This window comes from Homo sapiens, chromosome 15, assembly GCF_000001405.40.
Source record: "Homo sapiens chromosome 15, GRCh38.p14 Primary Assembly".
Taxonomy (NCBI): domain Eukaryota; kingdom Metazoa; phylum Chordata; class Mammalia; order Primates; family Hominidae; genus Homo; species Homo sapiens.
The window spans coordinates 42593418-42606727 of record NC_000015.10 but is presented as its reverse complement, the minus strand read 5'-3'; the positions used below and the strand labels follow the sequence as shown (position 1 = coordinate 42606727).

The window sequence follows — 13310 nt, the reverse complement described above, 5'->3', positions numbered from 1 at the left end:
CACTTTGGGAGGCTGAGGTGGGAGGACCACCTGAGCCCAGGAGTTTGAGACCAGCCTAGGCAACTTGGAAAAACTCCATCTTAAAAAAAAAAAAAAATACAAAAATTAGCTGGGTGTGGTGGTGCGCACCTGTGTTCCCAGGTACTTGGGAGGCTGAGGTGGGAAGGTGGCTTGAGCCCAGGAGGTGAAGGTTGCAGTGACCTGAGATCACACCACTGCACTCCAGCCTGGGCAACAGAGTCCGACCCTGTTTCAAAAAACAAAACTAAAAATAGGTGGTGTTCTGCACATCTCAGAGAGAGGGGCCAATAGAGAGGCTTGAAAACACATGTTCTATATTCATGACTCTTGGTCTTTTCCTATAGTAAATGCAAGATTTAACAGTCCAATATTTTCCAATTGTCAGCTAATTCATGTCATACTCCAAGTATTAGAGGTTAGCACAGAGAAGGAGTGCAAAGGTAGCAGGATGTGGTGAGACAGTAGAATGGACTAAAACTGGGCTTCATCTCTGAACCTCAGTAAGCACATCTGTAAAACAGAGTACTAACCCACTTTACAGGGTTGTTGTGAAGGTGATAAGTACTCAATACAGTACCTGGAAGACTGTAGGTTCTCAAAAAGTGCTATTTTCTTTTCTCCCTTCCCATTGAAGCAAGCTGGTTTGAACATTTTCCAAAATTAAGTACAACTTTTCCAAACCCTGAAATTGAATCTAAACTCCATGGGAATGTTTCCAGATGTTTATGGAAAGAGGAAGTTGTTTGTATTTTCTTAAAATCTCTGATGCGGGAGAAAAGGAAAAGCAATACCAGCCAGAGACCACGACATGTTTGTGCTTTAAACATCGCCACAACACCACCACAAACAAGATGAAATTAGTTTAACAGGGGAGGAACAGTAAAGAAAGAAAAGTAATTATGGGTTTCCATCCCTGTCAGATGTCTTCTCATCTCAGCAGAACCATGATCTCCACCAACTGCATGGAAGCTGCATTAATCTTCCTCGGACACCAATTCAGCGCATATCCCCAGAACGCAGCTGTATCTTTTCTAACTGCCTAACTAGAGAGACAAGAATTGGGAAATAAAGTTATTGACAAAGGGATTATCCCCCACTTCTAGGAAGAGAAGCAAGAAAAGTGAGTTTGAACACACTGTTGTTTACCTCTTCCACTCCTGAGGACCAGCTGTTTAAGGGGCTATTTGTATACAGATGGTGATCTTATGGGCTTAAGTGCACTGCTTCTGCCCTGAAACCAATTCCCCAGGGGCTCTGTCTTTTATAATTTTGACACCTAGACTTGGGGGATGCCTGGGCACATCTGGTCACCATTTGATTTCAGGCTTCTATTGTGTTCAGTCTGTTGCGGAAGTGAGTCTATAAATAGCTCATGTTCCTTTGCCTCATACTTGAAAAATAAGAAACTGTCAACTCTGCCTTTCCTGCAGAAAGGTTTTCGCTGTAGTTCAAACATCTGAATCCAGCCCCTCTATAATGACCATACATCAAGTTAATATGCTAAGTAGCAGCCTCAACCAAATGATTCATATATCTATTTTATTATAAGATTAAATGGCATCCAGAATAAAACTCAGGAGAGAGCTCCATGTTAGGACTAGTGAATAATTCATATGATGCTTTGAGAAGTCTTTGATCTTTTTGGAAACTCACCAAGCTGTGAGGTTAAATTTATGTACATGAAACAGCACCCTCAAGATTTAAGAAGAAATGTCCTTCTCATCTTTGGAACAGAATATATGGATTTAAATTCCATTCGATCCAGGTCAGGCGCGATGGCTCACACCTGTAATCCCAGCACTTTGGGAGGCTGAGGTGGATGGATCACTTGAGCCCAGGAGTTAGAGACCAGCCTGAGCAACATAGTGAGACCTTGTTTCTACAAAAAATAAAAAATTAGCCAGGTGTGGTGGCACATGTTTGTAGTCTTAGTTACTCAGGAGGCTAAGTTGGGAGGATTGCTTGAGCCCAGGAGATCAAGGCTGCAGTGAACTAAGATCACACCACTGCATTCCACTCCAGCCTGGGGGACAGAGAGAGACCCTGTCTCAAAAAAAAAAAAAAAAAAAAAAAAAAAAAATCAATTTGATCCTGAATAAAGCAATCATACTATGAACTAGATTTCCTCCCCTGACAAAAACAATCTTCCTCCCTCTTCACGTTTTTTCAAATCCTTGGTTAAAATATGATAACATTTACCACACTGTGGAGTAATTCTCTCTTTAGTATCTGTCTCTGTCAAGAACTATTAGTTTTTAAAGGACAAATACAATGTTGGTTCTTATTGGTTATTTCCAGTGCCTAGCACAATTCTTGGCATATTTTTATGTAAATGCATGCTGAATGAATGAACGAGGTAGAATAATCACATATTATATGACCTTATGAGCTTCCACAAATAAAAAAATCAAATTTGATGTTGATTTAAGAGACAGGTAAGAGAAGCGTGGATCAAACAAGTAGAAGCAGACAGACTGAAACTGCCTTTGCAAAAATCATGACAGTGAAAAATCTGACATAGGAAGTTATGGCAGTGAAAGAAATCTGACCTAAGCAACTCCATCTTACTTCTAACCTCCAGGCTACCTTGTTCACTCCTGGGCACAGGTCAAGCTAACTAAGGAAGGAATTTATAGTTTAACTTTGAAACAGGTAACAGCCCCTTCCCCAAACAAACCCCCTCCTTGCATGGGGACCAGACCACCTTTGTAAAACTAACACATTAGCCACAAGACTAGAAATTACGGTGCAGGAGTCATGCAGTCAGGGATCACAAGATTCTTAACCTCCTCAATTGCTCCTATAGATAGGAACTGAAGTATTTTTCCTTTGGTTCTTTGAACCAAAGATAGGAATTGAAGTATTTTTCAGACCCTGTATTCTGATGACCAGCTGGTGCCACCCAGACCTTACAAAACTGGCTCATCTGGTCCTGTGGCCCTCCCACCCAATAACTGACTCAGCACAAGAAGACAAGCTTTGACCCCCTATGATTTCATCCCAGACCCAACCAATCAATATTCCCCATTCCCTAGCCCCCTGCCTGCAAAACTATCCTTTAAAAACCCTCGTCTCCACATATTTGGGGAGACTGATTTGAGTAATAAACTCTGGGCTTTTGCTTAGCTGGCTCTGTGTTTATTCAACTCTTTATTGTGATTCCACTGTCTCGGTAAATTGGCTCTATGGGGCAGCAGGCAAGAACCTTGTAATCTGGTGATTACAAGAACAAAGACACAAATTGTTTCCTCTTCACCTCCACACCTGCTCACAATTCTAAAATGTCTATTTTTGGCTGGCATGGTGGCTCATGCCTGTAATCCCAGCACTTTGGGAGGCTGAGAGGATCACAGGGTCAGGAGTTCGAGTCCAGCTGGGCTTGCATGGGGAAACCCAATATTTACTAAAAATACAAAAATTAGTCAGGTGTGGTAGCACGTGCCTGTAGTCCCAGCTACTCAGGAGGCTGAGGCAGGCTGCACTCCAGCCTAGGCAACAGAGCAAGACTCTGTCTCGAAAATAAATAAATAAATAAATAAAAAGTCTATTTTTACTGGAAAGTGGGCTTGTGTAAATATATGTAAATCACAGAATAATTGGAGCCAACATATTGTAACAACCACCTCAAACTTTATCCTGGAAAAGAATATATGAGGCCAAACTCCAGTCCCAAAAAATGCAGTTCAGAAAGAGCAGCAAGTAGCAGCAAGGATCCATACTGGATATGAGGCAGGAGAATAGGGTCTAGAGGCAGGGAACCTAAGGCTCTCACGCCAACTTCCCAGAACTAAACTGAAAGGAAAACCCTAGACTTTCCACGCCTAAGTAACAAAAGTAACAAAAGGGGTGGGATGAAGGAGTTGGGGGTCTTGGCTTCATTTGCAACTTTGTAACTTCACTCCACAGCTCTGAATGGTTGCTGTCTACAACCAATCAGGCTGATTGCTGGCCGAGTCTTCTTCGTTTACCATAGAGGTATGACTTTGTAACTTCACCCTAACCTCTGTTTGCACAGCAGTGTGACTTTTGCAACTTCACTTCAGGCTCTGGTTGACTGCCTTCTGCAACCAATCAGACAGATTGCAAGCTACCACTTCATTTACATGAGGTGAGCATGCAGTGGCCAATGGGAAAACTTCTAGAGGGTATTTGCACCCAAGGAGATTCTGTATCTGATCCCTTGAGTCAGTGCTCAGCCTGCTCCCATACTGTGGAGTGTACTTTCATTTTTAATAAATCCCTGCTTTCATTCTCTCGTTTCATTCTTTCTTTGCTTTACTGGGCATTTTGTCCAATTCCTTCTTCAAAACACCAAGAACCTGGACAACTTGCAGTCACGACCCCTCTACCTTGAACATACCATACCTTAGCCAGGTATATCAAAACCTGCAACTGGAAATGCCCCAAAATATTTCATAGTAAATTATCAATTTCTGGCTTTGGCTTTAAGAGATAAAGTCACCCAGCCATGTTCTAGAAGCCAGAGCATACTATTGCCATGTCTGACAAAGACTCTGCCTGCCTTTGGTGTAGGAAACAAACACTAAATTAAAATTTGCTCTAGGCTGGGTGCAGCAGCTAATGCCTGTAATCACTTTGGGAGGCTGAGGTGGGTGGATCACTTGACGTTAGGAGTTCAAGACCTAAGCCTGGCCAACATGGTGAAACACTGTCTCTACTAAAAATATAAAAACGAGCCGGGCGTGGTGACACGCACCTGTAGTCCCAGCTACTCAGAAGGCTGAGGCAGGAGAATCACCTGAACCCGGAGGCAGAGGTTGCAGTGAACTGAGATCGCACCACTGCACTCCAGCCCAGGTGACAGAGCAAGACTGCCTCAAAATAAATAAATAAATAAAATAAAGTAAAATAGGCTCTAGAGTCCATAGAGCAAAATGTAAATTTTTTGCAGATCATCTGCTGACGCTAGACTTAATGCTATAGGGTTTGTGGAATATAAATCAAACACACTGTCCATCTTTGCACTGATAGGTGAAATAAAGAATATATTAACAGACCGACAATGGAGAGTTTTGCTCAGAAAACCCTCCTGTAGAAAAACAGATATATCCGGGAAGTGGGGGGCAGCCCCCACCCGGCCAGCCGCCCCGTCCGGGAGGTGGGGGGGCAGCCCCCGCCCAGCCAGCCGCCCCGTCCGGGAGGTGGGGGGCAGCCCCCGCCCGGCCAGCCGCCCCATCCGGGAGGTGGGGGGCAGCCCCCGCCCGGCCGCCGCCCCGTCTGGGAGGTTGGGGGGCGCCTCTGCCCGGCCGCCCCGTCTGGGAAGTGAGGAGCCCCTCTGCCCGGCCGCCACCCCGTCGGGAGGTGTACCCAATAGCTCACTGAGAATGGGCCATGATGACGATGGCGGTTTTGTCGAATAGAAAAGGGGGAAATGTGGGGAAAAGAGAGAGAGATCAGACTGTTACTGTGTCTGCGTAGAAAGAAGTAGACATAGGAGACTCCATTTTGTTCTGTACTAAGAAAAATTCTTCTGCCTTGGGATGCTGTTAATCTATAACCTTACCCCCAACCCGTGCTCTCTGAAACATGTGCTGTGTCCACTAAGGGTTAAATGGATTAAGGGCAGTGCAAGATGTGCTTTGTTAAACAGATGCTTGAAGGCAGCATACTCGTTAAGAGTCATCACCACTCCCTAATCTCAAGTACCCAGGGACACAAACACTGCTGAAGGCGGCAGGGCTCTCTGCCTAGTAAAACCAGAGACCTCTGTTCACATGTTTATCTGCTGACCTTCCCTCCACTATTGTCCTATGACCCTGCCAAATCCCCCTCTCCGAGAAACACCCAAGAATGATCAATAAATACTAAAAAAAAAAAAAAAAAGAAAGAAAAACAGATATATCAAGTGAGATAAACGAAGCAGGCTGGCACTGTGGCTCATGTCTGTAATCCCAACACTTTGGGAGGCCAAGATGGGCAGATCACCTGAGGTCAGGAGTTCGAGACCAGCCTGATCAACATGGAGAGACCCCATCTTTACTAAAAATACAAAATTAGCTGGGCATGGTGGTGCATGCCTATAATCCCAGCTACTCGGGAGGCTGAGGCAGGAGAACCGCTTGAACCCGGGAGGCAGAGGTTGCAGTGAGCCAAGATCGTGCCGTTGCACTCCAGCCTGGGCAACAAGAGCGAAACTTGGTCTCAAAAAAAAAAAAAAAAGAAAGAAAGAAACGAAGCAAAACCCTCTCTCTCTCACACACACATGCACAAGCACCCCCCATTTGTTTACCCAGCACCTAGCCCATCCCTGGCATATAATAGATAAATGTTTGTTGAGTGAAGAATGCTTTTTCTGTAACCTATAACCTTGTATCCAGTATACACTGCTTCCTCTCCTCAGGTTAAAAGTCCTCATAGCTCCTCCAAATTATCTAAAGGGAAAGCACCCATCCTCCCTTTCTTGCTTCCTGGAATGGGAGTGATGACATGTCCTATATAGGCTGGACTCAACTAAGTATCCAGTACGCTTCTGAAACCACTTTGTCATTGTACCAGAGAAACCGTTTGGTCTTCATCTCCTCTAGGAGTCTGGACCAGCTTAGAGGTGAAATATAGGAGTCTGGCCTCCTGAAACACTTGGAAAGATGGGCACTGTGACTATATCCTCTTAGTTTCACCCAGACTAGCACCACCTGATCCCCTCAAACACATGGTGTACATTCCTGCCTTAGAGTCTTTAAGCTGTCCCCTCCAACCAAAATGACCCTCCCTGAACTCATTCAAAACAAACTTTGGATATGTTATTCTTCTGGATTCCTTAAGTACTTACTCTAAGTACGATTATAACACTTAAATGCTTGTTATTCTTGATGATCTTTACATACCTAAAGCCTGGTAATCCCAATAAGACTGTAAGCTTTTTGAGGGCAGGAATCACATCTACTACTCTGTATTCCTCGCAGCACTAAACCCCATGTGTTGCTTCCTAAATGCTTACTGAATGAATGAATAAATGAATGGTCACTGTGCTAGGAAACGTGGCATGTTCAAAGATAGATGAGACCTAGTCTGCCTTCAAGGATCACTCAGACTAATAAAATAGATAAGCCTTGTATCCAAAGAGCATTAACTTTAGTTAGTAAACAGAATGTATCACAAGGGAGTAACAAGATACTATGAGAATCCAAGAGATGGTGACTTCAAGGAAGAAGCATCATTTTAACTGAACCTTAAAGAACAAGCAGTATTTTGTACGATAGAAACTGGAGAGGTGAGATGTATTAATATACACTAGGAAGAGGAGCCAATATAAGCAAAAGCAGAGAAAGATATGGCATTTTGGGGAAGGGCAATAACCAAAATAACTAGGACAGTCTGAGAAAGAACGAGCCCTCACCAATATTAAAAAGTAGTGAAACAAGATGGTGTTTTCATGTATATTTGAAACTTTCTGAAACAGTATGGTTCAGGCACAAAAATACAGTTGAGGAAACAAAACAGAGTTTTAAAAGAGATCCCCAAGTATACGCCGGGCATGGTGGCTCACATAATCCCAGCACTTTGGGAAGCCAAGGCAGGTGGAGCACCTGAGGTCAGGAGTTTGAGGCCAGCCTGGCCAACATGGTGAAACCCTGATTCTACTAAAAATACAAAAATTAGCCAGGCATGGTGGTGGGGGCCTGTAATCCCAGCTACTTGGGAGGCTGAGGCAGGAGAATCATTTGAACCTGGGAGGCGGAGGTTGCAGTGAGCTGAGATTGTGCCACTGCACTCCAGCCTGGATGACACAGTGAGACTCGGTTGCCAAAAAAAACAAAACAACAACAACAAAAAAAACAGAGACCCCAAATATATATAGCAATGTATTAACTGATAAAAGTAGCCTTTCACTTCAGTGGAGAAAGAATGAGTGTTCAATAAACGGTACTGTGTTAGAAGAAGTAAGCTCTAGTATACAATAATACAGTAAGAAAATTACAACTAATGATAATTTATTGTATATTTCAATATAGCTTGAAGAGAAGAATTATAACACTCCCAACACAAAGATAAATGTTTGAGGCGATGGCTATCCTAACTACCCTGATTTGATCATGACAGATTGTATCAAAATATCACATGTACCCCCAAAATATGTATATCAATAAAAAATAGATGAACTAATAGTATTCAGACAACTGGATAGTTATCTGGGGAAAAAATATAAAGCTGAAGCCCTACCTCATTTTTTATGCCAAAGAATTTCAAATAGATTAAATATGTAAATATTTTAAAAATTCATTACCATGCCAGGAAAAAAAAAAAACATGATGAATACATTTATAATCTCAGAGTGAGAAAGCCTTTCGAAGCCTAACACACCATGAAACCACAGAGAAAGGATGATAAATTTGACTACATTAAAAATATAGGCTGGGCCGGGCACGGTGGCTCACACCTGTAATCCCAGCACTTTGGGAGGCTGAGGCAGGCAGATCACGAGGTCAGGAGATCAAGACCATCCTGGCTAACATGGTGAAACCCCGTCTCTACTAAAAATACAAAAAATTAGCCAGGCGTGGTGGCAGGCGCCTGTAGTCCCAGCTACCCAGGAGGCTGAGGCAGGAGAATGGCGTGAACTCGGAAGGTGGAGCTTGCAGTGAGCCGAGATCGCACCACTGCACTCCAGCCTCAGCGACAGAGCAAGACTCCATCTCAAACACATACACACACACACACACACACACACACACACACACACACACATATATATATACAAACACACACACACACACAGGCTGGGAGCAGTGGCTCACACCTGTAATCCCAGCACTTTGGGAGGCTGAGGCAGGCAGATCACCTGAGGTCAGGATTCGAGACTAGCCTGGCCAACATGGTGAAATCACATCTTTATTAAAAATACAAAAATTGGCCGGGCACTGTGGCTCACGCCTGAAATCCCAGCATTTTGGGAGGCTAAGTCGGGCAGATCACCTGAGGTCAGGAGTTCGAGACCAGCCTGGCCAACATGGTGAAACTCTGTCTCTACTAAAAAATACAAAAATTAGCTGGGCATGGTGGCAGGTGCCTGTAGTCCCAGCTAGTTGGGAGGCTGAGGCGGAGAATTGCTTGAACTCAGGAGGTGGAGGCTGCAGTGAGCCGAGATCGTGCCACTGTGCTCCAGTCTGGGCAACAGAGCGAGACTCTATTTAAAAAAACAAACAAACAAAAATTAGCCAGGCATGGTGGCAGGCACCTGTAATCCCAGCTACCTGGGAGGCTGGGGCACGAGAATCGCTTGAACACAGGAGGCAGAGGTTGCAGTGAGCTGAGACCGCACCACTGCACTCCAGCCTGGGTGACACAGCGAGAATCCATCTCAAAAAAAAAATAAATATACATATATATGCATGCACCAGGTGCGGTGGCTTATGCCTATAATCCCAATACTTTGGGAGGCCAAGGTGGAGCCCAGGAGTTCAAGACCAGCTTGGCATTACAAAATTATCCAAGAGTAGTAGTACACACTTAAGGTCCCAGCTACATGGGAGACTGAGGTAAGAGGACTGCTTAGGCTGGGGAAGTTGAGGCTAAAGTGAGCCATGATCACGACACTACACTCCAGGCTGAGAAACAGAACGAGACCTTGTCTCAAACAAACAAAATATATATACACACACACACAATCGTAAACAGAATCAAAACAAAAGTATAAACAGGGAAAATGTTTGTAGTATCTATGACAGATGAATCAATTTCCTTAATATGCTAACTCCTTTGAAAAATAAGAAATAGATGCTATCTAGAAGGATACCAAAAGAATTGTAAACAATGGTTACGTTTAGAGAATAAGATGAGTGGGAGGTATAGAAAGGGAAGGCTTTTCTAGTTTTACCATTATAGTCTTCTGTACTGTTCGAATATTTTGCAATTATCTTACATTGCCTTTAAGCAAAATATTTTAATAAGCTAATCAATTAGCTGACATTTTCATTTATGCCGTTATCTGCTTTCTGCTGAGCACAGAAATAGAAACCATTTTTTCCCAAAACTTTCTCTGAACCCTTTTCTGAATGTTGTATTTAGAAGGAGCCTTTTGTTGGTCAGCTACACTGGCTCCCCCAAACAGAGGACTACAGAAATGGGGTTAAGAGGGTACTTGGACACAGGCTTACTGTGCAAGTATGTGGGAAGAAAATTTAGCACCTGTTAGCAGTCTGCCTGTGCATGCCTGTCTACTGTGGTGGACATACAGATCTTTTGCTCAAAGGGCTGCTGTTCATTTTATATCCTCTCGTTTAGAAGATTTTGCAAATCATTTTGTCCAAAGACTCTCAAAGTAATCATCACCATCATCATACTTCTCTTCCTCAAGCAATTAATTGACAATCGCTTTAAACCCAGGACAAACCCAAGTTTAAGGTGCAAAGGGTGAGTATAAGGAATTTTCAGCATTGCAGATCCAAGCAAGAGAAAAATGGGGTAACATCAAGGACAACTGTCTTAGGAACTCTCCATTTATGCTTAGGCTGCCCTTGGTCATCTGCAAATGACTATCAAGCTTTGGGCATGTCTCCCCTACAGATAACCTCTCTCTCCAGCCTGGATCTCAAGGGCTCTAGCTACCACAAGGAATTTCCATTACCCTTGTCTTACAGGGGGAAAAATCCACATAAGCTTTGGCATTTTAAAAGATTTCTCTAGTTTCCACTGTTCATTTTTGCATAGTCATGTGCCACGAGCAGCAAACATTGTCAAGAATCTCTGTCTTTCAGATGTTTCTACGAGTCTGAAAATTACTCTTTAAAGATTCACAGTCAAGTTTCTAAAGACGGAAAAAACAAGTTAGATTAAAATCCAGCTCACAGACATGCTTATGGAACCAAACAGCTGTGCTGCTGGCAGAGGGACATACTGAAACACTCATGGTAACCCCTCCCATCTTCCACTCAGCTCTGCAGAGCCCCATCTGATTACTGCACAAAAAGGCTTTTTCTTATAAACTTCTCTCCCTTCGACTTCTGTCTCCATCTTGGTTGGAAAAAAACCAGCACTAGTGATGGAATGTACAAAGCTCTGCAAATATTCATGAGAAAATGCTGCTTTGAATCCACATACTCCCCAGCTCCCCTAGCACATACATGCATCAGAAAAAGGGGATGCACAAAGAAACTGATTGGCATCTGTGGTTCTTTAACTTAGGCAAATTATGAGGCCTTCCCAAAACAGGCAGCAAAATTCAAGAAGGCAGAGTCCTATCTTGTCAGTCATACATTGAACCTTTAATTGAATAATTAATCTAATAGCCATTGATTGATAATGGAAGATGTGCAGCACTGGAAATACAGGAATAGAGTTGTATGTGGTATAGTGTGCGAGAGCTTGGACCATGGAGTCACATAGTCAAGGTTTGATTGCTGCGTCCATCACTTGGTTGTATGACCTTAAGCAATAATGCAACAAATCTGAGCCTGTTCCTATCCCTAAAATGGAGATACCTGCTGTAAAAAAGTGACACAATCCTAACAGTGCCCACCCCTCTGTGAGCTCTCAAATTCCTCCTCACCTTAGTTTGTTCCTCATGTTTCCCTCTCCTCTAGCCCCTCAAAGGTCCCTCCTCAGTTTCAGTCATTCTTCCACCTTCCCCAAAACCTTCATTCACACTCCAAGTTCAGCAGATACAAGAAAAGTAAGGCATAAAAGAAGGGAAGGTCACACTCCATCTCTCCAGCTCATCCTGCGTACTTTCTGAGGCAGCAGATAACAGATCACTTGTTATCATTTTGTAATGGGTTGGGGTTTCCCAAACAGAAATGCTGCTTTTATGGCAGCAGTATCTAATCACACCTGGTCACATTAGAGAACGCATAACAACAGGTATGGAATACTTCCCCATACTACTAGATGGCAATAGGGCAATTTCCTCATCCCAGTTGACTACAGAGCCAGGGACAGGTTAGATCTAAAGAACAAGATCTTTCCTTGAGATTCTGCTAGTGGCACATTACCTGTTATGCTAGGACCATTGTGTTGCAGTCCATGGCCCCTACCATTAGAATAAACAACAGGATTTCCCAGCCACATCAAGAACAATTCTGGACTGGCCAAAAAGAAAACAAACAAACAAAAAAAACTTCTAACTGTTATTTTGTCTCTCTAGACCTTCAATCTGAAAAAGTAAGTATCTTGAATGGTCTCTTAACATTTCTTCCAGTATTAATATTCTGGAATTCTAAAGTCAAGCTATTTAGCTACTATGTATCAGGATTCAAAAATTCTGTACAAGTTACTCTTCGTGTCCTAATTACGTACAATTTTCTGCAATTTAACTGAAATCTCTTTTATCCTAATGAAAACAAAGACCAGCTGGTTCTCATGTTCCAGAAAAAAACTCCTCATGTTCAGTACTTATGGAGCATTATCATCTCTGCCTTCCCATCGCAGGATCAACATTCCTTTACTGAATAATCGCATGTGGAATGCCCATGAGGTATACTACACTAATAGTGGCTCCTCTTGGTTCCTGCAGTCCAGCTCTGTAATCATTTGGGGGAGTATGTGTGGTTTCCCTCTGAAGCCTCTCCAGGTTCCTGACATCCTCACACTGAAGTCCAGAATTGGAAAAGATATTCACCAAAGAATCTATAGCACACTCTCTTTTCTCCGTCTGTCTGTCTCTCTCACTCTCACTTGCTCACTCTCTCTCAGGGCTCCTTGACATAAGTAATGATGTATTCTGTGTGTTGTTTGATGTTCAGTATATTGTGGAGACCAAATAAATATTAAAACAACAAGAAGCACAACCACGCGGTGGCTCACGCCTGTAATCCCAGAACTTTGGGAGGCCGAGGCGGGCGGATCATGAGGTCAGGAGATCAAGACCATTCTGGCTAACACGGAGAAACCCCGTCTCTACTAAAAATACAAAAAAAAAAGTTAGCCGGGCGTGGTGGCGGGCGCCTGTAGTCCCAGCTACTCAGGAGGCTGAGACAGGAGAATGGCGTGGACCTGGGAGGCAGAGCTTGCAGTGAGCCGAGATTGTACCACTGCACTCCAGCCTGGGCAACAGAGTGAGACTCTGTCTCAAAAAAAAAAAAAAAAAAAAAAAAAAAGAAGCACAACCATATTACTACTAAAATACTTTCAATTTTGGAGACAGTGGTTGTTTTGAATTCAGACAAAAATCTCCTGCTCACTCAACATGATTTTTTTTTTGGTCTGGAAATGCTACAAGTGTTTTAGCTAAATAACAGACCATTTTAAAATAAAGATTTCCAGAAGAATAGGAGCAATTCTTTCCATGAAGAGCGGTTAGCTTTTTGTTCATAGACATGATTTTTGTTGACTCA

At 43.1% G+C, this 13310-nt stretch overlaps 1 protein-coding gene across 14 annotated transcripts in view, besides 1 other annotated feature; it reads right to left on the bottom strand.

Annotated features, from left to right (window-relative positions):
• The window catches only part of STARD9 (StAR related lipid transfer domain containing 9), a 145393-nt gene that overhangs the window by 114271 nt on the left and 17812 nt on the right, over nucleotides 1-13310 (bottom strand). The gene's annotated exons all lie outside the window — the stretch shown is intronic.
• Nucleotides 5314-5930: an enhancer, noted in NCBI's record as "NANOG-H3K27ac hESC enhancer chr15:42892996-42893612 (GRCh37/hg19 assembly coordinates)". NCBI's record gives its function as "activates a minimal SCP1, AML or CMV promoter by ChIP-STARR-seq in primed H9 embryonic stem cells {active_cell/tissue: H9 hESC(primed)}" and the evidence as "EXISTENCE:reporter gene assay evidence [ECO:0000049][PMID:30033119]".